Raw genomic sequence first — 25,837 nt, 5'->3', positions numbered from 1 at the left:
GGTTGGAGAACTCCCTCCCCTAGCCAAGGGAAGCCGTGAAGGACTGTGCTGTGAGGAAGGGTGCACTCTGGCCCAGATACTACACTTTCCATGGTCTTTGCAACCCACAGACCAGGAGATTCCCTTGAGTGCCTATACCACCAGGGCCCTGGGCACAAAACTAGGTGGCCATTTAGGCAGACACTGAGCTAGCTGCAGGAGTTTTTGTTTGTTTGTTTGTTTGTTTGTTTTTTATACCCCAGTGGTGCCTGGAATGCCAGTGAGACAGAACCATTCACTCCCCTGGAATAGGGGGATGAAGCCAAGGAGCCAAGTGGTCTAGCTCAGCAGATTCCAACACCATGGAGCCCAGTAAGCTAAGATCCACCAGCTTGAATTTCTCACTTCCAGCCCAGCAGTCTGAAGTCAACCTAGGATGCTCGAGCTTGGTGGTGGGGAGGGGTGTCTGCCATTACTGAGGCTTGAGTAGGCAGATTTCCCCTCACAGTGTAAACAAAGCCGCCAGGAAGTTCAAACTGGATGGATCCTACCACAGCTCAGCAAAGCCACTATAGCCAGACTGCCTCTCCAGATTCCTCCTCTCTGGGCAAGACATCTCTGAAAGAAAGGCAGCAACCCCAGACAGGAGCTTATAGATAAAACTCCCATTTCCCTGGGACAGAACACCTGGGGGAAGGGGCAGCTATGGGCACAACTTCAGCAGACTTAAACGTTCCTGCCTGCAGGCTCTGAAGAGAGCAGTAGATCTCCCAGCACAGCACTCGAGCTCTGCTAAGGGACAGACTGCCTCCTCAAGTGGATCCCTGATTCCCATGCCTCCTACTGGGAGACACCTCCCAGCAGGGGTCAACAGACACCCCATACAGGAGAACTCTGGCTGGCATCTGGCGGGTGACCCTCTGGGGCAAAGCTTCCAGAGGAAGGAACAGGCAGCAATCTTTGCTGTTCTGCAGCCTTTGCTGGCGATACCCATAAAGCAAACAGGTTTGGGAGTGGACCTCCAGCAAACTCCAGCAGACCTGCAGCAGAGAGGCCTGACTGTTAGAAGGAAAACTAACAAACCGAAAGGAATAGCATCAATATCAACAAAAAGCACATCCACACCAAAACCCCATCCAAAGGTCACCAACATCAAAGAGGGAAGGTAGATAAATTCATGAAGATGAGGAAAAACCAGCACAAAAAGGCTGAAAATTCCAGAAACCAGAACACCTCTTCTCCTCCAAAGGATCACAACTCCTTGTTAGCAAGAGAACAAAACTGGATGGAGAATGAGTTTGACAAATTAACATAAGTAGGCTTCAGAAGGTGGGTAAAAAACTCCTCCAAGCTAAAGGAGCATGTTCTAACCTAATGCAAGGAAGCTAAGAACCTTGAAACAAGGTTAGAGGAGTTGCTAACTAGAATAACCAATTTAGAGAAGAACATAAATGATCTGATGGAGCTGAAAAACACAGCATGAGAACTTTGTGAAGCATACACAAGTGTCAATAGCCAAATCGATCAAGCAGAAGAAAGGATATCAGAGATTGAAGATTAACTTAATGAAATAAAGCATGAAGACAATATTAGAGAAAAAAGAATGAAAAGGAATGAACAAAGCCTCCAAGAAATATGGGACTATGTGAATAGACTAAACCAACGTTTGATTGGTGTACCTGAAAGTGACGGGGAGAATGGAACCAAGTTGGAAAACACTCTTCAGGATATTATCCAGGAGAATTTCCCCAACCTAGCAAGACAGGCCAACATTCAAATTTAGGAAATTCAGAGAACACCACAAAGATACTCCTTGAGAAGAGCAACCCCAAGACACATAATCATTAGATTCACCAAGGTTGAAATGAAGGAAAAAATGTTAAGGGAAGCCAGAGAGAAAGGTCAGGTAGCCCACAAAAGGAAGCCCATCAGACTAACAGTGGATCTCTCTGAAGAAACCCTATAAGCCAGAAGACAGTAGGGGCCAATATTCCACATTCTTAAAGAAAAAAATTTTCAACCCCGAATTTCATATCCAGCCAAACTAAGCTTCTTAAGCAAAGGAGAAATAAAATCCTTTACAGACAGGCAAATACTGAGAGATTTTGTCACCACCAAGCCTGCCTTACAAGAGCTCCTGAAGGAAGCACTAAATATGGAAAGGAAAAACCAGGACCAGCCACTGCAAAAACATACCAAATTGTGAAGACCATCGACACTACGAAGAAACTCTATCAACTAACAGGCAAAATAACCAGCTGGCATCATAATGACAGAATCAAATTCACACATAACGATATTAACCTTAAATGTAAACAGGCTAAATGTTCCAATTAAAAACCGGCAAATTGGATAAAGAGTCAAGACCCATCAGTGTGCTGTATTCAGGAGGCCCATTGCATGTGCAAAGGCACACATAGGCTCAAAATAAAGGGATGGAGGAAGATTTACCAAGCAAATGGAAAGCAAAAAAACAAAAAACAAAACAAAACAAAAAAAAAACCAAGGGTTGCAATCCTAGTCTCTGATAAAACAGACTTTAAACCAACAACGATCATAAAAGACAAAGAAGGGCATTACATAATGGTAAAGGGATTAATGCAACAAGAGTTTACTACCCTAAATATATATGTACCCAATACAGGAGCACCCAGATTCATAAAGCAAGTTCTTAGAGACCTACAAAGAGACTTAGACTCCTACACAATAATAGTGGGAGACTTTAACACCCCACTGTCAATATTAGACAGAACAATGAGACAGAAAATTAACAAGTATATTCAAAACCTGAACTCAGCTCTGGACCAAGTGGACCTAGCAGACATCTACAGAACTCTCCACCCCAAATCAACAGACTATACATTCTTCTCAGCACCACATTGTAGTTATTCTAAAATTGACCACATAATTGGAAGTAAAACACTCCTCAGCAAATGCAGAAGAACAGAAATCATAGCAAACAGTCTCTCAGACAACAATGCAATCAAATTAGAACTCAAGATTAAGAAACTCACTCAAAACCACACAACTACATGGAAACGGAACAACTTGCACCTGAATAACCACTGGATAAATAACAAAATTAAGGTAGAAATAAATAAGTTATTTGAAACCAGTGAGAACAAAGACACAATGTACCAGAATCTCTGGGACACAGCTAAAGCAGTGTTTAGAGGGAAATTTATAGCACTAAATGCTCACAGGAGAAAGCAGGAAAGATCTAAAATCAACACCCTAACATCACAATTAAAAGAGCTAGAGAAGCAAGAACAAACAAATTCAAAAGCTAGCAGAAGACAAGAAATAACTAAGATCAGAGCAGAACTGAAGGAGATAGAGACATGAAAAACCCTTCAAAAAATCAATAAATCCAGGAGCTTATTTTTTTTTTAAATATTAACAAAATAGATAGACTGCTAGCCAGACTAATAAAGAAAAAAAGAGAGAAGAATCAAATAGACACAATAAAACAGGATAAAGGGGATATCACCACTGGTCCCACAGAAATACAAACTACCATCAGAGAATACTATAAACACCTCTATGCAAATAAACTAGGAAATCTAGAAGAAATGGATAAATTCTTGGACACATACACCCACCCCAGACTAAACCAGGAAGAAGTGGAATCCCTGAATAGACCAATAACAAGTTCTAAAATTGAGGGAGTAATTAATAGCCTATCAACCAAAAAAAAGCCCAGGACCAGGAGGATTCACCACCGAATTCTACCAGAGGTACAAAGAGGAGCTGGTACCATTCCTTCTGAAACTATTCCAAACAATAGAAAAAGGGGACTCCTCCCTAACTTATTTTAAGGCCAGCATCATCCTGATACCAAAAGCTGGCAGAGACATAACCAAAAAAGAAAATTTCAGGCCAATATCCCTGATGAACAACAATGCAAAAACCCTCAATAAAATACTGGCAAACTGAATCCAGCAGCACATCAAAAAGCTTACCCACCACGATCAAGTTGGCTTCATCCCTAGGATGCAAGGCTGGTTCAACATATGCAAATCAATAAATGTAATCCATCACATAAACAGAACCAATGACAAAAACCACATGATTATCTCAACAGATGCAGAAAAGGCCTTCAACAAAATTCAACACCCCTTCATGCTAAAAACTCTCAACAAACTAGGTATTGATGGAACATATCTCAAAATAATAAGAGCTATTTATAACAAATCCATAGCTAATATACTGAATGGGCAAAAGCTGGAAGCATTTCCTTTGAAAATGAGCACAAGACACGGATGCCTTCTCTCACCACTCCTATTCAACATGGTGTTGGAAGTTCTGGCCAGGGCAATCAAGCAAGAGAAAGAAATAAAGAGTATTCGAATAGGAAGAGAAGAAGTCAAATTGTCTCTGTTTGCAGATGACATGATTGTATATTTAGAAAACCCCATCGTCTCAGCCCAAAATCTCCTTAAGCTGATAAGCAACTTCAGCAAAGTCTCAGGATACAAAATCAATGTGCAAAAATCACAAACATTCCTATACACCAATAATAGACAAACAGAGAGCCAAATCATAAGTGAACTCCTATTCACAATTGCTACAAAAAGAATAAAATACCTAGGAATACAACTTACAAGGGATGTGAAGGACCTCTTCAAGGAGAACTACAAACCACTGCTCAAGGAAATCAGAGAGGACACAAACAAATGGAAAAACATTTCATGCTCATGGATAAGAAGAATCAATATTGTGAAAATGGCCATACTGCCCAAAGTAATTTATAGATTCAATGCTGTCCCTATTAAGCTACCATTGACTTACTTCACAGAATTAGAAAAATTCTGAGCTTCTGCACAGCAAAAGAAACTATCATCAGAGTGAACAGGTAACCTACAGAATGGGAGAAAATTTTTGCAATCTACTCATCTGACAACGGGCTAATATCCAGAATCTACAAAGAACTTAAACAAATTTACAAGAAAAAAAAACCCCATCAAAAATTGGGTGAAGGATATGAACAGACATTTCTCAAAGGAAGACATTTATGCAGTCAACAAACATATGAGAAAAAACTCATCATCATTGGTCACTAGAGAAATGCAAATCAAAACCACAATGAGATACCATCTTATGGCAGTTACAATGGCGATCATTAAAAAGTCAGGAAATTCTGAGCATGGTGGTTCTACTTTAAATTTCATATGGAACCAAAAAAGAACGCATATAGCCAAGATAATCCTAAGCAAAAAGAGCAAAGCTGGAGGCATCATGCTACCTGACTTCAAACTATACTACAAGGCTACAGTAACCAAAACAGCATGGCACTGGTACCAAAACAGATATATAGACCAACGGAACAGAATAGAGGCCTCAGAAATAACACCACACATCTACAACCATGTGATCTTTGACAAACCTGACAAAAACAAGAAATGGGGAAAGGATTCCCTATTTAATAAATGGTGCTGGGAAAACTGGCTAGCCATATGCAGAAAACTGAAAGTGAACCCCTTCCTTACACCTTATACAAAAATTAACTCAAGATGGATTAAAGACTTAACTGTAAGACCTAAAACCATAAAAACCCTAGAAGAAAACGTAGGCAATACCATTGAGGACATAGGCATGGGCAAAGACTTCATGATTAAAACACCAAAAGCAATGGCAACAAAAGCCAAAATTGACATATGGAATCTAATTAAACTAAAGAGCTTCTGCACAGCAAAAGAAACTATCATCAGAGTGAACAGGCAACCTACAGAATGGGAGAAAATTTTTGCAATCTACTCATCTGACAATGGGCTAATATCCAGAATCTACGAAGAACTTAAACTAATTTACAAGAAAAAAAAAAAACATCAAAAAGTGGGTGAAGGATATGAACAGACATTTCTCAAAAGAAGACATTTATGCGGCCAAAAAACATATGAGAAAAAGTTCATCATCACTGGTCACTAGAGAAACGCAAATCAAAACCACAATGAGATACCATCTCATGCCAGTTACAATGGCGATCATTAAAAAGTCAGGAAATGCCGGGCATGGTGGTTCATGCCTGTAATCCCAGCACTTTGGGAGGTCCAGGCAGGTGGATCATAAAGTCAGGAGTTCGAAAGCAGCCTGGCCAATATGGTGAAACCCCGTCTCTACTAAAAATATAAAAATTAGCTAGGCATGGTGGCGGGTGCCTGTAGTGCCAGCTACTCAGGAGGCTGAAGCAGGAGAATCGCTTGGACCCCGGGAGATGGAGGTTGCAGTGAGCTGAGATCACACCACTGCACTCCAGCCTGGGTGACAGCAGAGTGAGACTCCATCTAAAAAAAAAAAAAAAAAAAGGAAACATCACAAGCTGGAGAGCATGTGGAGAAATAGGAATGCTTTTACACTGTTGGTGAGAGTGTAAATTAGTTCAATCATTGTAGAAGACAGTGTGGCAATTCCTCAAGGATCTAGAACCAGAAATACGACTTGACCCAGTAATCCCATTACTGGGTATATACCCAAAGGATTATAAATCATGCTACTATAAAGACACATGCACATGTATGATGTATGTTTATTGGGGCACTATTCACAATAGCAAAGACTTGGAACCAACCAAATGCCCATCAATGATAGACTGGATAAAGAAAATGTGGCACATATACACCATGGAATACTATGCAGCCATAAAAAAGGATGAGTTCATGTCCTTTGCAAAGCCATGGATGAAGCTGGAAACCATCATTCTCAGCAAACTAACACAGGAACAGAAAACCAGACACTGCATGTTCTCACTTATAAGTGGGAGTTGAACAATGAGAACACATGGACACAGGGAAGGGAACATCACACACTGGGGCCTGTCACGGGGTAGGGGGGCTAGGAGAGGCACAGCATTAGTAGAAATACCTAATGTAGATGATGGGTTGATGGGTGCAGCAAACCACTATGGCACATGTATACCTATGTAACAAACCTGAACGTTCTACACATGTATCCCAGAACTTAAAGTATAATAAAAAAAAATTTAAAAAAGACTCTGTCTCAAAAATAAATAAATAAATAAATAGAGCCTTATAACTCACTGTAGCCTTAAGCAGTTCTCCCACCTCAGCCTCCTGAGTAGCTGGAACTACAGGTGCCTATTCACTCTTACTGCTATATGATAATCCATTATATGAATATACCACAATATATTTCTCTTTTCTCCTGTTAATGAACATTTGGATCGTTTGTAGTTTGGAGCTATTATGAATACTGCTGAGATGAACATTTTAGTACCATATTTTGGTGAACATATGCATGCATTTCTGTTTTATGGGTGTATAGCTAGGAGTAGAGTGTATACCATTGAGTGTATACCTAGGATTGGAATTTTTGGATCATAAGGTAGGTATACGTCCTAATAAATATTGCTAAACATTAAAAAAAAAAGAAAAGATCCTTACTAAACGAAAGCAATAAGACTTTGTCTTGTATGGTGGATAAACTGAGAAATTAGAATACATACTTGGAATTTGGATATTAAAGAATAAAATAATTTAGCTGGCTCTGATAATGGTGGTTATGTTAAAAGGACATATTCTATTCAATTAGAGGTGCACACTGAAATATTTATGGGTATGAAGACACAATATCTGGGATTTGCTTTCAAGTAGTCCAGGAAAAACAAAAAAGAGGATGTGATAGATGAAACAAATTGGGCAGAACGTTGGTAATTATTGAAACTGGAGGATGGCTATAGAGTGGCTCTTTATAGTACTTGTCACTTTCTTATTAAAGTTTTCTACTTTTAAAAAGTTAAAAAAAAATTATAAATATATTTTTTAAAGTGTGATTCTAAAATCTGGCTGATCATCCAGATCACCCGAGGAGCTTAAAAAAGTAGATTCTGGGAGCTGCGCAGTCCTGCTGAATCAGTCGTCTGTGAGTCCATTTGTACTGGATGGGAGGTGGGGATGAAGGCTTGCGCATGGAGGAATGTGTTATTTTTTAATTTCCTGGTTCTGGCAGCCAGCACAGCCACGCTGCCTCCTCTGCTTTGTCTGACCCAGGAGATCTTACATCAGTCTTCCTTCCTGCCTGCCTACTTCTCTCTTTCCTGTCTTTCCCTCCTCCTCCCTCTTGTTTTCTCTTTCTTCACTTTATAAAAGTTTAGGGCAGGAAGCTTAAAAGGGCCACAGGGTCCTAGCATCCCTTTCCTCTTCCCATCAGAGGAAGAGTGTCTTCATTGTCAAGCGGGGGCTTGTGCTTGAGGACTGGGCCTGGACCTCATACAGTTATTATTTATGAAAAGCTGCCTTGCTACCATGGATGAGAGATGTGTGCATTGCTCAGGTGCACCTCAAAATAAAGCTGCTTAGGAAGCACAGTCTTAATATCCAAGCCTTTCTTTTTCTTTCAGCATTCATCAATTGAAAACATCACAATCTGTTCTTAAATAATTTATTTTTTAATGTTGACTCTTGTGAAAAGTTACATTTATTTAGAAAAACTTGAAGAAATCCAACAAAGAATAGGTGGCTTTCTATTAGGGACAATTAAATGTGCAAATTTCAAATACTTTTTATAATAAGTATAAATAATTACTTTTTTTCACATTAAGAATGGAAATAATGATCAACACAAAATATTAAGATATCAACTTTAAGAGAATTAGATGAAAACACTGAAGTTTATTTGGTATCTTTGGAAAGAAATTATAAAGATTCGTCTGGGAAAAACTTAGGGGGCTCTAAGGGGAAAGTGTGCCTAATAGTATGAGTAAAGGCTGTGTAGAGTTATGGATCACAAATATTTTCAGGCCATAAGTACAGACCCCCAAAATGGCAGCCTTTATCTCTGGGGAAAATGCATTTCCCCTCCTTTTTTTTTTTTCTTCTAGAGCAAATATGACAGCAACCACAAAGCACACAGAGAAACTGTAAGCCAGCAACAGAAAGAGATTTCCTCATACTCATGGTTACTGGCTTTTGCTGTCCCAATACCAGGGTACCATGGGATGCAGGGGACTTCCCAGCCCCCCCAGGACACAGTGTTAACAGAAAATAAAACCATCACAAAAGGCCACATCTTTCCCTGTGACCATTGCCAGTCTCATCCCTGCTCCTTCCCTATCTCATCTCCAAGGAGGTAGGACACTCAGAGGCATTAACAGAACACAGAGTATAGTTTTTTATTACATAGCTGGAGTTTCATAAGGAGAAGCACGAAACATCGATGAATATGTATGTATACCTTGGATGCAATTCCTTCTTTCCTGGGGAGGCAAGCAAAAGTGTATCAAAGAGGCCAATTTACTCCCTGTGGTCAGGAACTTGCCCACAGCCTGACTCAAAGCAAGGATGTTCTCTCAGGAGAACACTGTGGCATTTTCCCCAGAGCTGAAGAAATATCTTCACTTAAATAATCTTGAAGTTTGTAATAAAATAAATAAAGTGAATTACACAAAAAGGACTAGAGCTCCCTTTAAAAAGGCAGCTGGTTGAGTTTATGCAAGCAGTGTATACACAAGCTCATGCCCCAACAACAACCAGAAAACAGGTTATTATTATTTAGCCTTCCTATTGTACTTCTAGGGCAGCATTTCAATATAATTTAAAAAAATCCCTCATACATAATGTAAGGGTATATTATATATGTACACACTTTTACTCCTCAGTTCAAGCTAACTTCTTTAGAAGTAAAGACAGTAATAACCCAAAGAGTTACACGTCTTCCCAGTAAAATATTCTAATTTTTTAAAAGGTGCATATTATAAAGAGCAGCTTGTTTTTCTGTCAATGTGAACATGTTCAGTCTCAGCAGCCTCAGAATCACAGTCCATGGATGGTTCTGCATTTCTGCCGGGTCCTCAGGAAAGGAACCGGGCAGGTAGGGAAAAACCATGAACTACAAACACTCTCTGAATACGTCCATTTTCCCTGAGCTTCCTTGAGCTTCTTGCAGAGGGCCTCGCTGCCATGAGGATCTGGCTTCACATCTCTGAGAGATGCTGGGGGAGGGGAGGTGGAATGGCTCTGGCTTCTCCAACCCACGCGACTTGTGTGTCTTTTCCCTTTCTCAGCCAAGACGATGAAGCAGTCCTGATGCGCAGGGTGCAGGGGCCTCGGCCAGTCCCCGCACACCTTCCAAGTCCAAAGAAGTTCCTGGCCTCCTGCTTGGTAGGAGAGGAGGAACCTTGGGCTGAATCTGACATCATCCCTTGCCAGTTACAAGCTTTGCTTTCTAAGGCCACCTGGGAACACTCCCGGGTTACCAAACCTGAGCATCGTGGGCACCACGAAGAGCTTATCTTTCCTCTCCTGCTCAGACACCCTTAAGCCCACTGTTGCAGTGGCAGCTGAGGGGTTCAGAGGATAGCACCATGATGACTGACAGCTCGAGGCCCCACTTCTTGCAGGAGGTGACCCACCTGTTTCCGGTTAGCCATACATCTGCTTGAACTGAAAGCATTCGTTGCAGTAGCCGTTGCACTTGGCATTGCCAAAATGATCACAGGCGGGGGCCCGGCAACGCTGCTTGGGGGGGTCTTCGGGGGCAGGCTCACCCCGGTGGGCCCCAGGGCCCATCCTCTGGTTGGGATGCTGACACTCCATGCAGAGCTCCTCGCTGCGGCAGGCCAGGATGTTCTTGCAGGAGGCCCGGGCGCACTTGGGCCTTGAGGTGCTTTGTGTGGTTCGAGGCACATCTCTGCGCTGGCTCGATCTCTGAGTGGAAAGAACAGGCAGATCATTAAAAAGTCAGGAAACTATTGCTCACATTTCTTAGGGAGAGCACAATGAAATCTCATTGGAGAGTGTGGAGTCTACAAAGAGCTTTACCTGCCTGAGCAAGGGAACAGGAGAGCATTGCAGTCTATGAGCCAGAGCTCTCGAAGGATGTTTCTTTCCAGTCTCAAGGAAAGCTGACTTGGCCCCCAGGGAGGCTGAGGAAAACCGCCAAGCCTAAGTTGGCCTGCAAACTTTCCCTGGCTCTCTTCTGTTGGGACCAAAAACCACTGTTCTTACATAGCTTCCCTACCATTCTGTGAGCAACAGGCGACACACCTATCTGTCAAAGCTGGCTTTTCTGACGCGCCATTAGGTGGAGGCAGGCCCCTGGGAAGCTCTGTCTGTTCGCTCCTTATGATAAAGGATTATTTAAGAAGGGCTGCTTTTTAGATGTCTGTGCTTCTCTTACAAATCAAAGAAGCCTCTGATCACCATCTGGCTTTTTGGAGGCTTGAAGAAGTTTTATGCAATGGCTGTGTTTCTTTGTTTTTAAAATAAATTTGAAAGCATACTTGGAGCATGAAAATTGGAGGTAGCATTTCGGACCTGGGGAGCCACAGTGACATGGACATTCCCCTTCAGGTTCTGAATTAATCCTTTATCATGAGGAGACAGAACCTGGCAGAGAGGAAAGCCTGCTTGTCACTGTCGGTAGAAAACGCTCCAGCAAAAAGCATCGAACACACGGGAGGGAGGGAAAGCTCCTCCAAGTGTCTCACCAGTTGCTCTTCTGTCCTTTTGGCCTCATGAAATCTCTGATTCTGAGCTTCAATGAAACACTTCTGGCAGTATCCTTCAAACATGGTGCTTCCAAGGGTGCCGCATTCCCTCCCCAGGCACGGAATGGTGTTCTGGAACCTGGACGCTGTGGGACTGACTTTCCCTGAGGCAGCAGCAAAATCTACATGAGAATGGATGCTAGTTAGTACCACATAGGGGTCACCCCACCGATACAGAGATGCTGACAGTAGAGAAATAAATGGGTTCCAAATACAGATTAGGCCAGCCTTAAATGTATAGAAATATATATATGTATATGTTTAAGTCTATAAATTCAGCAAAAGAAATAACATCCCTATTATGGAAACATCTTTGGCTTTACCAATCTCTCATTTTGAACTTGAAGCACTGATTGCTCACAGGAACAGGCAAGGAGCAGGCATTACCTGATCACCCTTCTTTCCAATGAGAGATTTCCAAACCACATCTGTTTCCTTACAGTGTCAACAGAGACTTCCTTCTCTCCAGTTACTACTCTTCAGATTTTAAGATTGTTCTGTTATATCTAAGTTGCAAAATAAGTCTAGTTTAAACTTAGACTCTCTTAGATATGCCAGACCTGAATGGTCTAGTAAAAGCACATCCCATGAGCTCTGTCTACAGGGCACTCTGGTTTTTGGAATGTGATATTAGGAGCTGCTGTAATCACGCAGTGCCTTTTGCCTCCATGGGCGGCTGGCAGGGCCACCGTGACTGTCCCCTGCACAAGCTGGTAGAAAAGCACGGTAGGTCCTGACAGTTCTGCCTGACTGCCTACATGGGCTTTTTTTCTTAAAGGTCAGGAACAAAACCCCTTCTGGACAGCAGCCGCTGTGTTAGGAAGTCAACCACTTCACTCACGTTTGTTTTCTCTGTACTCGATGAAACACAGTGTGCAAAAGCCCTTGTTTTCTGGAGTCCCAAAATACACGCAGCCGGCTTTTCTGCACTTGCTCGTCCCCGTCCTGTCCCCAGGAGTCCGTGCAGCTTGAGACAGGCAGCCAGCAGGGGCGTCGTTTCCAGCTCTGTGGCAAGAATGCGGGGAGGGGCTCCGGACGAGCCGCGAGGGATCTGACTTGGAACGCTGGTGACAGGAAGGAGGGAGGCTGGTGCTGAGGCTGGAGGAGGCCTCTGCTGTAGTCCTTTTGAAGCAAGTACTGCAGATCCCATTAAATGTCCTGGTAACATCCTGGAGGCAGGCTTGGCACTTCCCGGGATCCAAGTGCCTTGTGTGGTCTGGGGCGTGGCTGGCGTGAAGTTGCCGGGCGTTGTGGCAACGTTCACAAAATCCGTTGTGCTGCACATTCAGTGTGAAGGGGCAGCCGGGGCTCCTGCACTTCATGGCAGTGGTCTCACTGAACAGAAAAGGGCTGGGTGCTGTCGGTGGGGCCGAATGAGGCCCCCCAGTGGACTCCTCAGGGTTCCACGCCAAGGGCTCATAGGCTTCTCCCCGAGAGGCCCCGAGCGCCATGCCAGGGAGCCCCTCAGGGCCCGGCTTGGAGTTCAGCTTTGGGAGTTTGTTTTGATTCTTTTGCCGCCTCTCTGAGCACTCATGGCATAAAGGCTGGGTGTTCACAGACATGAAGAAGGGGCAGTTGGGCGTTTCACATTTTACATCCATGAGAGAAAGCTGGGGCACGGAAGGTTCCATGGGATTCTGGGCGTGCCCCTCTCTCCTCCCCTGCTCGCTGTTTTCCTGCCATTTCTTGTACTCATGCTGAACAAGTTCAAAGTAATCATCTACCAGATTGATTTCTTTTGGTAAGTTAGCTTCATCCAACCTGAAGACCAAAAGGAAAAAATATGTATGAGAATACACAAAATCACACACAAGATTTTACATCATTAGCTCATAGAACAAAGTTTTAGAATGTGGATTATGGCAAGAATTGTAGAACCATTCACTGAAATGCAGGCCTGTGATGAAGAGCTCACACTTTTCACGCAACATGATCTGACACATTTCCCAACATGTTCGAGTCAAGAATGATGTCAGTTAGTTTGCTAAGACTTCCTTATTTTTAAAATCACAGTTTCATTTAATCAATCTTGGTCCATCCAAAAATTATAGATAGTTCTAAAACAAGGGCTAAGAAAAATCAGTTGACTTTCCAATTTCTCAGAGATCAAATTCTGAGTAAAATATTACTGAGGCCATTGGTTTGGGACTAGTCTACTTTATAGTACAAACTACTTTGGAACCTCAGGTTGGGTATTTTGCTGTTACTAACTTTAAACTTGTGTCTAGTCTCCACCAGCATTAGCAGCCATGAGTAACTAAGACGCAGACACACTCAAAGGCGCTTGTCTATTTACTGTTGACTCTGTAATTTGCTAATCTCCACATTGAGAGACAGATTCTCTTACGGCTTCCTTGTCATCTGTTGTGCGTTTCAAGTGCTCAGAAACAGGCATCTCTTTAACATAAAGCCAATGTTTAAAGACCGGATACCTGCACAATGGGTATTCTGGGGCTTTCCTCCCATTTCCATGTGGCAGAATCATGAGCTGCAACATAAACAATTCTACAGCTCCATCTATGTCTGATGTGCCTGTTCTTACCAAGAAGCCAAGAGAGAAAGGCTTTTGTTTCCAAGTGTTTTCACTAGTCTTTTTAATATGTACCAGAGTAATTAAAATACAAAAACAAGAAACAACAACTATCCTTGATGTAAATGCACTTTGAAAACCCATAATTCTGCAATTCTGACTTTTGGGATCCAGATATCCAGGAAAATCATTATGGATAAATGACATGTTTTGATTTGAAACCCAAGTTAGTACTGCCTTACATAATCCTCTCTAACCATGCACAAGACTCTGAATTTGTTTCCCATTGGCAGAAACTGGCCGCAAATCACTCTACTGTTGAGCTTCAGGGTGGCAGCAACTCAGGTGGCTGAGGTTAAAGACAGTTACAGATGACACAGGAGAGAGCTGAACATAAACTGCTTACTTTGCGGCATTGATGAGATGAGTTGTGCCATGGTCCCAGCCTTGGACGGGGATTTCTATCACCATTAAGTACTCTTTTAAGAGCTTCTCCTTCATCTCATTTTCAGGATCTGTCAAAAAGTGAACTTTTAAGTCTTCAAATCTTCCCCGGTCTCTGTTAACAAGTGGAACAGCTCGGATTTCTAAGGAAAAAAATAATACATAAGTAAAACAGTATTCTACTAAACAAGGCCATAGGTAAGTAGATCTCATTTTGAAAATGTATAAAAGATATAACTTACAGAATAGAAAAGTATTCTTAGCCACAGTTAAACCCAAATGGGAAAACAAAATGTGCTACAATCTAATATAAAAATGCACTGTTTCCAGGAAACTCACATAACATTAACCAGCCTGGAGGTGGTGGATCTTATTGGTTAAAGTCCCAGGCTTTAGAATCAGACTGACCTGAGTTTGAATCCTGGCTTTGTCACTATCAAGCTGTGTGGCATTAGGCAGGTTAGTTGACCTCTCTGAGCTTTAACTGTCTAATATGTAAAATAAGGCTACCAAGGCCTACATCTCACAAGAGTGCTAAAAGGATAAAAATGCAGTAAAATAATATTTCCAAAGCACAGTGCTTATTCCACATGAGGCTATTAAAATAACAGCTAACAGGCCAGGCATGGTGGCTCGTGCCTGTAAATTTGAGAGGCCAAAGCGAGAGACTGCTTGAGCCCAGGGGGTGGAGGCTGCAATGAGCCATGATTGTGCCACTGCACTCCAGCCTGGACAATGGAGGGAAACCCTGTCTCAAAAAGAAAAAAACTAACCTGACAGGCGTTTACTTGCTCCATACCAGGCACTGTATTAAGAGCACTGTGCGCCTTAATTTATCATGTATGAAAGTACTTTCCAAGTCATATTCAAAAAGATATGAGGGTATTATGATTACTGCTACTGCATTACTCTTACTAACCAAGCAAGTCACAGAACAATATATTTAAATAAAAATAATATACTTAAATAAGACTGTTTTAATAAGAAGCAAAAAGGAAAACCCTGATGTTTCAGTGTCTAGTTATAGATGTGAATTAATGCAGTTTTCTCACCAGGCCCACTGTCCTTCAGGGTCACCAAGGGTACAAAATGATGGCTGTCATAGCCGAGAACAATGGGGTATCTGTAGCATTCCTGGGCAGGCCAGTGGAGAGGCAAGTAAATTCCACCCACTTTCAAAGGGGCGAAATTGGAACCTGATTCCAAACTTCTTAGCATTTTGTCTGTTCAAAGAAAGAGAAAGGAAAATGAGGCCCTTAGGTGACTTTCATCAAATTCCATTGAACTCTGTTACCTGAACTTTGGCAGTGTGGTTTTCTCCAGGAGCCAAGGCATAAGGCTGAAAGCATTTAAGTACAGATCCGTGATCTGCAGGCATCTCACCTGAAATGACAATGATTGGCCTTCTGAGGATGTTGCAAAGGACAAATATGTGTATTTCTTCCAGTGAGTTGTACTGAAGTCCACTTCGGGCCATGGGTGTGTCTGTGGAAGCCATTTTGATAAGATTGTCCCATTCATCATTCCAGTTCTAAGGGGAGCGGGGTGAAAAAAAAGCTTGAATGTATCCTGTACTCCCTGTACTAAAAAGTCATTCTGACATCACTCTACAATTATTCATTTATATAACTCAGCTTATTTTTTCCCCTTTCATGAAACCATCATTCAAATGATCACCCTTTTTTCCCCATTTCGGTTTTCTTCCTTTACTTTTTTCCACTACAAGGCAAACTCAAAAGTTGGGGAGGACGGGGACAGCACCTGCTTTAAAAAAAAATCCCTGATGAGGTATCATATTGCAGCCCCTTATCCAAATGTTCACAAAAATTCCAAACTTGTGACTGAGGATGGTGAGGCACGTGTCTTAATCTTACTGGCTGGCTCAGCAAAGCTAAGGGCAATCAAACTGAAAAACAACAAAACACCAGTGGAAAAGGCCATGATCAAAAGACTCGCTGCTACAGGAACGGATCCACAGCTGGGAATCTGCTAACCAAAAGCAGGGCAAAAGCCTTGGGTGAGTCCCACTGGAGGTTTCTGGTGTTTTCCATTGAGTATGCTTCGCTTAGCCAAATTCATGTGACCTAGTCCATCAGATGCTACCAGAGGGCAGGGACTCGCCCAGGGGTACCCTATGCCCACCATGGAGCTCTGTTAGTAGATAATTAGGGGGAAAAACCTACCCGAGTATCATAGCAAAGCCCCGTTTCAACAAATTCCTGAGATTTGAGAGACTCCAGTTGCCAGCGGAATTTAAAGTTGCGTGTGTCTGTTTCCTTGAGCGTGCTGAACAGCGCCTTCCTCAGTACCAAGTCTGTGTCCTGAACGCCCCACATGTACTGAGAAGTGGCATGCATGAGGCAATTGCCGTCACCTGAGGACAGAAAGGAGGAGAAGAGAAGGAAAGTCAAGTTATCTGCATGTAAGACCCAGCAAAGGTTTTCAGAATAAACCAGCCCTACTGCTATTCTAGGGGACTGAATGGTTTAATTTGATGTAATTTCCTAGTCAAGGGCAAACTGATATTTCACAAGATGATGACAGCTTTAAGAAAAAAAGAGTTCTTTTTATTCTTCTTTTTAATGAATGACACCAACTGCAAAGGAGCCAGGGGACCTTGGTTCTAGCTTAAGTCTGCTCCTAACTAGTTTAGGTGACCTGGAGGAAATTCCTTAAGTTCACTGGGCATTTTTCCTCTTGTGAAATGAGGGCAGTAAGTGATGATCTCTAAAGCCCTATCCCTTCCTACCATCCCTTGATTTGCTGGTGAAGGCACTGGCATTGCTGCTCTCTAGTTCTAAGGAGGAGCACACAGGGCAACATGCACAAACCAGGAAGCAGGCATGGCTTGCTAGATAGGGATGGTCTGGCTATGACTCAATGGCAAATGACTTGACCATTCCACTTTAGCCTTTGGGCCCTGGGAGTTTCCTCTCCTGGTGTGGAAAGTCGTATTGACAACACGGAATTACCTATGGCCTGCTAGTCCGGCTCTCAAAAATGCCTTATGCAAACCTGCTTGTTAGTAACTGTAAAGTACAAAAGTTAAAAAGCACCTGGGTGTCTAAATTTGAAAATAATTCAGTGTTTAGGGCTAACATTTTGAGAAGAAAAACAAACAAAAAAACAGGTTTAATTGTATGCCATTAATCTGTGACCTTTCCAGTTTAAAACTCACAATTCAATGGGCTGCATTTTTTTCAACCCCCAAACGATAAATATTTTGGGGGAATGTTTAAAACAAAAAAAGTTAACTCCTTAATCTCCTTTGGCAAGTGCAAAATAATTTTTATAATGAAAAGTTACATTGTTTCTTACATTACTCTATAAGTAGGGCAATAGAGCTATTTGAAATTTTATCAAATTGTAATTACAGTCAAACTGTAAAGAAACCAAAAAACCCTCAAATATACTTCCACAGCCAGTATTCCTTCAATGTATACATTTAGAAAAACTAGCTAAGTATTCAAACAAATGAACAAAAAAGATCGCCCAAGCCTTGTGTCTTGGCAGACGTGTAGCAATGATTGCGTTCTGTTGAAATTTCCCCTTTGCAAAATCTAGAGCAAAGATAAGGCTTTTTTTCTTCTTGTGCTTACTTTCAGTTCTTTATTGAGATGCACCAGTATAAAATTCCCTAAGTAACATCTGGAATTCCCCAGTGCTAAGTTATTTGACTAGCAATTGAGCAACAGCTATTGTACTTTTTGTTCTGGTGTGTAGACATTTAAACTGCGAAGTGCACCCTGGACTTTCCAAGTGGGTGTGGTCAGGGTGAGCTGGAATAGGGCTACTCATTATACAAGTGAAATCGCTGCAGCCAATAGACGCTGGAATTTTTCACATGAAGTTTCAATTTTATGCCACCTACTCCCTTCCTCATTCACCGCAGTCTCATATCCTCAAATGCAAACTTGTGAATCACCCCCTCCCCAAACAGATATTGCCTTTGAAGAACCCTCCTATCAGGGGAAGGATTAATTTTTTTTTAAAAGGTGCTAATTAAAATCAAAGAAAAAGTCATTTGTTTTCCTCCCTCCCTAAATATCTTTTCTTCCTTTTTTAGAATCTTAAGGAGTTTTCTTGAAAGTGAAGAAACAAAAGGACTCTGAGTCTAAAAATGATTTCCCAGAAAATGTTACCAAAATGCACCTGCTTTTGTAGTTTTATTTGTAGTGTGGCTCCTTGTTGATTTAAATGACATGTTTACAAAATAAGTGTTTCCTATTTATATTCCTTTTTTTTTTCTAGTGGAAATAGAGCATTTCCTTTCTTAAGGAAATAAAGCTAAAAGTCAGTTAATTCTCTTAATAAGGTGTTCCTCTTTCTACCACATTTTTAATTCAGCAGAATCTTTGTTTCCAACTCCCCCAAAGTTGACTCCATCTCTTTTTGGTAACAAATGGGAGATGATTAAAACCACAAATTGTCAGGCACATAAACCCCGTGATGATGACTTCACATAATTACCTACCTCTAAGTATCACTTAATTTAATGCCAAGAACAATGCAGATAGTAGCTATCCCCAGTTTTCTTTCTATCTATGTTTCTAAGAATCAGTGTTTCATAAATCTAGGCAAGACGTTGGGGTAATGTACAAGAGCCCCCAGAATCAAAATTTAAAAACCCATGTCCACCAATCACTCTAAGTTACCCAAGTCAAAAAAAGCCAAAGTTAATGTACTTGGCTTTTGAATGAAGTTAATTAAGTTAGTGTTCTTATCGTAATCCTTGTCAACAAGGATTTTCTGCCCTTGGACATATTATTTCTATTAGGATGGTTTGGGACTGTCACAGATATAAGGACCTGAGATTCCTGCTCTTATGTAGACTATGAGCATTTAATTGAGCTTGTACAGTCAACTTCCTTATTGTCATAATTATGCACATCCATAGAGCAGAATTTTGTGCCTGCATGAAACAGTATGCTCTGACATTCCTGTTGATGCACATATTCTTACCCAAGGGAAATGATTAAAAAACAAAACAGTAAAGCTTGGAATAGGAAATAGCTACTAGTGGTAAAGGCCATTGGCAGAACAGCACAGACAGGAAGGAATTCAGTGACTAAGAACCCCTAAAAATAATGAAGGTGAAGTCTAAAATTCATGCTAAAAATCTCAGCTATCTGTCTATTTCACCTTGCAGGGCATAGGCAATAGAACCTAGGTCAGAGAGGAGGAGGAGACAAAAGAAGTTCTTCATGTCTTCAACAGCCATTCACTGGTTAACCCATAAAATGCTACCAATTCAAGAAGTGTAAGAACATCACAAGCATTTTCTAATGACAGTGGGAAACAAATGTACTACCAGTTTTCACACCATTCTTTCCTTTTGAACTTAAAGGCTTTTAACATTTCCATTACGGGCCAGAGAAGGGTATTTTACAGATGATTAGACATTTGCAAGAATTAGAAAGAAATCACCTAATGGAGGTATGGTGTTTACAAATGCATTCTCCAAGCCTCAATGTGCTCTGCAATATACACAATCAGAAAATATCCTTAATAAATAGATTCACAAAACAAGTCTGCTATTATCACATACCCCGAATAGAGATTCTATATAAAGGTCTCAATACTAAATCTCAAGATTGATTTGAGTTTGGGCTTGTCCTATTAAAGCTTCATGAATGGGGATCCAGCAGGCGGGAGCTATCACCCAGGCAAAAGAAACACAACAGAACAAGTCTTACCGTTCGTTTTCAGCGCCACAAGCTTCCGGACTTCTCGACACCAGTTGAGTTTCTTCTGGCTTTCCAGGGTGGCCTGGATGTTTCTGTCGATGAGGGCTTTGTGGATGATCTCCCGAAACTGAGGACAAAACTGGCAAGTTCTGAACATTTCCAGTGTGTATCGGTGCATGGTTTTAAAATGATGAATGATCCCATTAGTAGGTTTAAAAATGTCTTCTGGAGTTCTCTCCCGTATCTTCACAGCTTTCCGCATATTGCTCAAATACAAAGCCTGAGGAAGGACTTGTTCAGCCATTGTGCTCTCCAACACCTGAAAAGGAAAGGAAAAAAAAAAAGCCATTCTATTAGCCTGACTTTAATACGACTCCTCTATAGCTGCCTGCAGGAAACCCCAGTGTTTGATCTTGTCATTACCCTGATCTGTAGGCAAAAGATCTTAGCACCTCTACTCCCGGGATACTAGCTGGCCCCAGAGATTAACTCACACTGGACTGTTTTAAGTTACATCACTTTAAAAGATTAGCCTAAACAAGAGAAGGAAGGCAGAGAGTGGGTACTGAGGAGGAGGGGAATAACCCGTGTTTTCAGTAATGTTTGTCAGGGAGCCAACCCTGTCTGTCAGCAACAGGTACTGCTCCTCAAAACCAACTTAAGCTCCCGTTTCATTCTGAGGCCACCCTGAACAGCACTGGATTTGGGGAGTACTGGATGCCAGTTAAGGGCTCAAAGTAGCCCTGACAAGTCTGTAGCTCCTCCCCTCAGACCACCACCAAGCACTCCTGCTCTTGGGCAAACTCTTGAGTTATCACTCCCTCCCTATGCTGGAAGGACAGTAAAATACTTTATGAAAAATCTTGCAATTTTATGCTGTCACTTAGGCTGCTGGTTGGTGTTTCCTCTTTAGCCCCAAAGAGAAGTATTTATAAAGTGTTTAATCATGAAGTTTATTCTGATGTTTATAAAGAGTTAAAACCGAATGTTTTCTAATCAATAAAAAAGTCCATTTCCAGCAAGATGCTTTGCAATTTTAAGAGCAGTCAGCATTCCTTCAGAACCTCCGCACCGGACTTCATATCAGAATAAGAAACAGACTAACAATAGGCTAGGCATGGTGGCTCATGCCTTTAATCCTGGCACTTTGGGAGGTCGAGGGAGGAGGATCACTTAAGCTCAGGAGTTTGAGACTAGCCTGGGCAACACGGTGAGACCTAGGTCTCTACGAAAACAAAAAATGAAAAACCGCAAAATAATAATAGAACAATAAATTCTATACTTCTAAGAACAGATATTGGAGCTCAATCATTTTAACTCAACTGCCAATGAAATTTTATCATCACCCTCCAGGTACCAACACAGAGGCAAGTCTGCCTGGCTTTTCACCCTGAAATCTTTAAGCATAATCAACTAGTAGAAGGAATGAAAATCTAGAAGTAGACAAGGAAAGAAGTTTCCACCAGGAGGCCACTCTGGCAAATGAAGGAGGAAAGGTGGCAAAGACCAGCATCTACAACCCATGCCAACAGCGCAGGATGATGCAAATTAACATGATGTAGGATCTCTCCAGTGTGGAACACTGTAAAAAGCCAGCTGTGATTTACTAGCCCTTAGTAGGGTGTCTGGCCACACTTCCTAATTTCCAAGAAGATGAAGAAGTTTTCAGAGCACAAAGACATTCCCTAGGAAATTTCACAGTGATTGTTAATTCCATTCCTGCAACATCTTATTTGCCAGGGCAACTTTCCAGTTAATAAAAATGTTAAACCTATGGAAGAGGGAGGAGAAGAAACCTAGATTTTAGGGTAGCTACTTCTGTGTGGGTCTAGACTCTCAACACCATTGATAAGGTGTTGAGATAATTCTTGTGGCCCACTCAAAGGAGAGAGGTTGGACTAGATGACCCATGGTTTCTCCTGAGGAGTTTTCTGGTGATAGTTTTAGATTGGGATTCTTAATCTGATTGCTGGGAAAGGCATAGTGGGAGTCATTCTCTGGATCAGATGGTGCTCTCTTTTGATGTCAGACGTCCTCTACAGGTGGAATTGGGCAAAATCATAGCAGGATAAAAATAACACATATACCTTTCCTTTGTGGCACAGCAAAAGTCTCTTTCACAATATCATCTATCCGTCCGTCCGTCCGTCCGTCCATCCATCCATCCATCCATCCATCCATCCATCCATCCATCTATCCATCCATCCACCCATCCACCCAACAAGCACTACCTGACCACCTACTGAAGGCCAATCACCATGCTTGATGATGGGACTAAAAGTCAAAGATGACCTTATTCCCTTCCCTGAAATTACACTACCACCTTAGTCTGCAGCTAAGGCAATGGAGTTACAGGTACTGCTCAGATCCCACAGCCATTCAGGGGCAAAGTTTTGCCTAGGAGCCAGGTCTTTCAATACCTGCCCCTTGCAATCCCACAACACCAAACCTGTGGCTACAGTGCCTGCCACAATCAGATGGAAAGAGATGGGCAGTAGGAAGATTTTAAACAAATGAGGTGTTATCTCTTTTTGCTTGCCTGACTCTTTTATTTTTCTCTTCTGAATCTAAAGATTTTTCACCAAAGATCTAAAATAGTGAGAGCTGTAAACCATAGGCAAGACATGCAAATGTCAATATCGGATACGCCAGTGTGATCTCATTGGTAGGGTTAGCCTTGCACAGCCTGTAAAACTGCCTCCTTAGAAATCAAAACCCACTGCCCAGATTTCCAGGTCTTGGACCACTCTACGCTTAAGATTAAAGAACAAATGTTTCAGATACGTTATAAGTGGCAAACAATGCAATATTACCCTTAACTTTTTTTTTTTTAACATTTGTTACCTCACTGTCTTATTTAAAGGTAGTTTCTCAACTTTTGTCACTAGGATTCCACAGAACTTCTCCGTTACTCAAACTCTTCTCCCCCTTGTTTTATTTTTCCACTCTGGGCAGACATTTTTGTCTGCATTGTGGAAATTGATGAATTATTTATCAACAAATACCTCATCCAAATTTGGGGATGTGCCTCTCCAAAAAATCAAAAATAGTACAAAGAATTGAAAAAAAAATCAAAGCAGCACCTTAAACAATGAGAATGAAGCATTCATTGGCTGCTCAATAATCTGGTACATTAAGGTTGCGGTCCAGAAGTCCCTTTAATTAACAATGGTTCTGCCAAAATGCTACCCTGAGACACTTGACCAGACTGGCTTTCCAAGGCAAGAAGATCTGAGGCGAGGAGAACCGAAAACAAAGCGGGCTCAAAAAGAGTTAAGCTCCTTCCTTACTTAATGCCACTGCTTTTCTGAGAGGCCAGGTGGCAGGATGTGGGACGACTCCAGCTGACAAAGACAGTCTAACCGTGGGGTAGGGGCTGGAGCAGGGGCCAGCGACCCACGTCTACATGCATACTTCTCTTACACTGCTGCTACTGGAAAAGCTGAACCCCGCGCCAGGACCCCAGCCCCCTGCAAGGACCCGTGAGCGTCTGGGAAGCTGTCTCTGGGACTGAAGCCCCCCACCTCCGCCGGGCTGGCGGCCACTGCGGTACCCTACGCCCCGTCGGGCTGGTCCTGCACAATTTGGGAAAAAGCCGCAGCGCTTCTGCAAGGTCTACGTGGCCATGAGCATGCAACGCTTGGCTCCAAAAAAGACACGAAAGGAGCAAAGCGCCAACGACCACCCGATCGGAGGGCCCGAGGGGCGCCTCTTCACCAGTCAGCTGCAGCTTAAGTTCCGTGCATTATCTGAAAGGAACAGCTGGCTGGAGGTATCCAGGGCTGTCACTCCAACCTCTGCAGCAGTGACCTCAACTCCCAGCACTTCAAAACCCAGACAGAAACGTCCAACAAACTCCCAGTCCAGGAGCGCTGCAAAACCAACGCCAGGTAGACGGTGCCAGCCCGGGGGTCGCTGCCCAACATGCACCCGCAGCCCTTGACTGCGGTGAGCCCGAGGCAGACGGCACGGGGAGGCGCGGCGGTTACCTCTCCGGGAGGCGCGGCGGTTACCTCTCCGGGAGGCGCGGCGGTTACCTCTCCGGGCCCCGCGATCCTTTCGCAAAGTCCCAAGTCCTGGTCAAGGCAGGAGCGCGCCGCAGGCGGGGGTCGGGGCAGGGACCGGGCGGAGGCGACGCTCCATGGACGCCTGGGGTCGGGCTCGCTCGCTGGCAGGGTCGGCTGGGGGTGTGATCTCTCTTGGCGGCCGCTCTCACCGCTCCGCCCCCGCGGGCTCCAAGCTCGCTTGGCCCGCCACGAAGACTGCAGACTGCGCAGTCTGCTTTGCCCCGTTTCAGTTGTATGCGGGTTGTAGGCCCGGGGATTTCCACGGGACTTTCCAAAGTCACGTGACTCTCTGGGTCGGGCTGCGAAGTGCGTCCAGCCGGCCGCCAGAGGGCGCAGGGGGCGAGGGGCGCGCGCGGCCTCCGCCCGACCGGGCCTGCGGGCCCCGCCCCGCCCCCTTTCCCTGCCCCGCCCCGCTGCCCCGCCCCGCCCGGTCCCTGCAGGCGCCCGGAGAAACTCCCTCGCCCCGCCCCGGGGTGTCCCCGCGTGAGTCACCTGGGCATTTCGGAAGCTGGGGTCACGTCACATCCATGTGGAAATCGCGGTGATGGGAACTGGAAATGAAATAGGTTCTTTTTCGCAGTTGTTTTTCTGCAGAAAATCATCAACTGTGGAGAAGAAGAAGGGAAATAAGAAAGAAAGAAAACCCTAAAAACCACCCTGGCGCCCGGGCCCGCAGGCCTCGGGCCGGCTCTGAAAAGTTTGGGCTGTGCACGTGATGAGCGCGTAGGCGGGAGCCCCAGACAGGACCCGGGCGGGCATTTCGAGAAAAAGCAGCGGTGACAGCCTTTGGTCCCCATCTCCATTGTTCCTGCCAGCTCTGGACCCCAGGCTGCATGAGACGTAGGTCCCAGGGGACACCCGACCCCGTGGCCCCAGTCTTAGGTAAACTTAGGAATCAGAACAACACTCACCCCTATGCCGCGCTTGCTCCATTTCCCCTTGTCTATTTCTGCTCACCAAGCATCCAGCTGACATTGCATTCAAAGCAGCATTTCAGCTTAGAAATCGCTTCTAGTCCATCACGGTGCTTGCCATGTGTCTCCAAGGCTTTATTAGGTGTGTTTTTAGTTGTCCTGATAATCAGTTCACCCCAGGGTGCTGATGGCTGATAATACTGGCGCTTCCCTCCCTACCCCCATGCGTTGCACAGGGAGGGTGAGTCATGTGGAGATGGATGCAGCCCCCTGGGCAGTGGGGGTGCAGGTGCTGTGCAGGGAGGAGTCTTAGGGCGTTTTTACTGTCTTACTGCCCTCTAAGCACGGGACCCTTTGGATCATTTACTAGATTGGCTAAACTAGAACCGGATGGAAATATTCTGTACTATGGTCCCCTTAATTACATTTAAGAATACTTGTCAGGCCATATATCACAGGTTTTTAATTAGAAAAGTATCCTCCTCTCGCCAGTAAGGACTTGCAGAGATGGGGGTGGGGGCTGGATGGAGGGTGGCACTTTTTTGGCAAAAAGAAGTTTGGAGCAGAGTGTCACTAGTGGCCTCTCTGAAGACTGGTCCTCGTCTTTTAAAACCGATGGCTGGAATTTCTTCCAGTTCCAAACCTCTTGTTATTTGTCCTCTCTTCTTGTTCACAAATGTGCTATCAACATTCAAACAATGGATAGTCAGCTA

The 25,837-nt window shown here is 43.3% G+C and overlaps 1 protein-coding gene and 1 long non-coding RNA gene across 13 annotated transcripts in view, besides 7 other annotated features; one reads left to right on the top strand and one right to left on the bottom strand.

Moving 5' to 3' along the window:
* TNFAIP3 (TNF alpha induced protein 3) lies at positions 8,363-25,326 on the bottom strand. Of its 12 annotated transcripts, XM_011536095.2 has the most exons (10): positions 25,122-25,326; positions 24,703-24,815; positions 20,153-20,462; positions 16,640-16,830; positions 15,840-15,987; positions 15,509-15,679; positions 14,419-14,599; positions 12,324-13,243; positions 11,423-11,604; positions 8,363-10,640 (listed from the first exon to the last, which is right to left on the bottom strand). In XM_011536095.2, the coding sequence occupies exons 3-10, from the start codon at positions 20,445-20,447 to the stop codon at positions 10,356-10,358; spliced, it is 2,373 nt and encodes a 790-aa protein (XP_011534397.1). In that variant the 5' UTR covers positions 20,448-20,462; positions 24,703-24,815; positions 25,122-25,326; the 3' UTR covers positions 8,363-10,355. The 12 variants fall into 12 exon arrangements, with proteins under 12 accessions (XP_011534397.1, XP_047275239.1, XP_024302301.1 ...); XM_047419283.1 differs by having other exon boundaries at positions 24,703-25,326; XM_024446533.2 differs by lacking the exons at positions 24,703-24,815; positions 25,122-25,326 and adding an exon at positions 23,434-24,416.
* Positions 12,115-12,697: an enhancer, noted in NCBI's record as "H3K4me1 hESC enhancer chr6:138200115-138200697 (GRCh37/hg19 assembly coordinates)". NCBI's record gives its function as "activates a minimal SCP1, AML or CMV promoter by ChIP-STARR-seq in primed H9 embryonic stem cells {active_cell/tissue: H9 hESC(primed)}" and the evidence as "EXISTENCE:reporter gene assay evidence [ECO:0000049][PMID:30033119]".
* Positions 15,317-16,516: an enhancer, noted in NCBI's record as "MED14-independent group 3 enhancer chr6:138196296-138197495 (GRCh37/hg19 assembly coordinates)". NCBI's record gives its function as "activates an origin of replication core promoter dependent on BRD2, BRD4, P300/CBP and CDK7 cofactors, and independent of MED14, by STARR-seq in HCT116 cells {active_cell/tissue: HCT116}" and the evidence as "EXISTENCE:reporter gene assay evidence [ECO:0000049][PMID:35650434]".
* Positions 20,552-20,671: an enhancer, noted in NCBI's record as "active region_25154". NCBI's record gives its function as "activates an Ori minimal core promoter by ATAC-STARR-seq in GM12878 lymphoblastoid cells {active_cell/tissue: GM12878}" and the evidence as "EXISTENCE:reporter gene assay evidence [ECO:0000049][PMID:35858748]".
* Positions 23,442-25,837, top strand: part of WAKMAR2 (wound and keratinocyte migration associated lncRNA 2) — a 44,565-nt gene continuing 42,169 nt past the window's right edge. Inside the window, exons 1-2 of the long non-coding RNA NR_049793.1 lie at positions 23,442-24,033; positions 24,791-25,092. This is a non-coding gene — a long non-coding RNA (wound and keratinocyte migration associated lncRNA 2). The remainder of the gene's footprint in view (positions 24,034-24,790; positions 25,093-25,837) is intronic.
* Positions 23,870-23,969: a silencer, noted in NCBI's record as "silent region_17591". NCBI's record gives its function as "represses an Ori minimal core promoter by ATAC-STARR-seq in GM12878 lymphoblastoid cells {active_cell/tissue: GM12878}" and the evidence as "EXISTENCE:reporter gene assay evidence [ECO:0000049][PMID:35858748]".
* Positions 24,110-24,279: a silencer, noted in NCBI's record as "silent region_17590". NCBI's record gives its function as "represses an Ori minimal core promoter by ATAC-STARR-seq in GM12878 lymphoblastoid cells {active_cell/tissue: GM12878}" and the evidence as "EXISTENCE:reporter gene assay evidence [ECO:0000049][PMID:35858748]".
* Positions 24,520-24,659: a silencer, noted in NCBI's record as "silent region_17589". NCBI's record gives its function as "represses an Ori minimal core promoter by ATAC-STARR-seq in GM12878 lymphoblastoid cells {active_cell/tissue: GM12878}" and the evidence as "EXISTENCE:reporter gene assay evidence [ECO:0000049][PMID:35858748]".
* Positions 24,740-24,879: an enhancer, noted in NCBI's record as "active region_25153". NCBI's record gives its function as "activates an Ori minimal core promoter by ATAC-STARR-seq in GM12878 lymphoblastoid cells {active_cell/tissue: GM12878}" and the evidence as "EXISTENCE:reporter gene assay evidence [ECO:0000049][PMID:35858748]".

This window comes from Homo sapiens, chromosome 6 (assembly GCF_000001405.40).
Source record: "Homo sapiens chromosome 6, GRCh38.p14 Primary Assembly".
NCBI classification, from domain to species: Eukaryota; Metazoa; Chordata; class Mammalia; order Primates; family Hominidae; genus Homo; species Homo sapiens.
The sequence above is the reverse complement of the archived record's forward strand: the minus strand, read 5'-3'. Positions and strand labels throughout refer to the sequence as shown.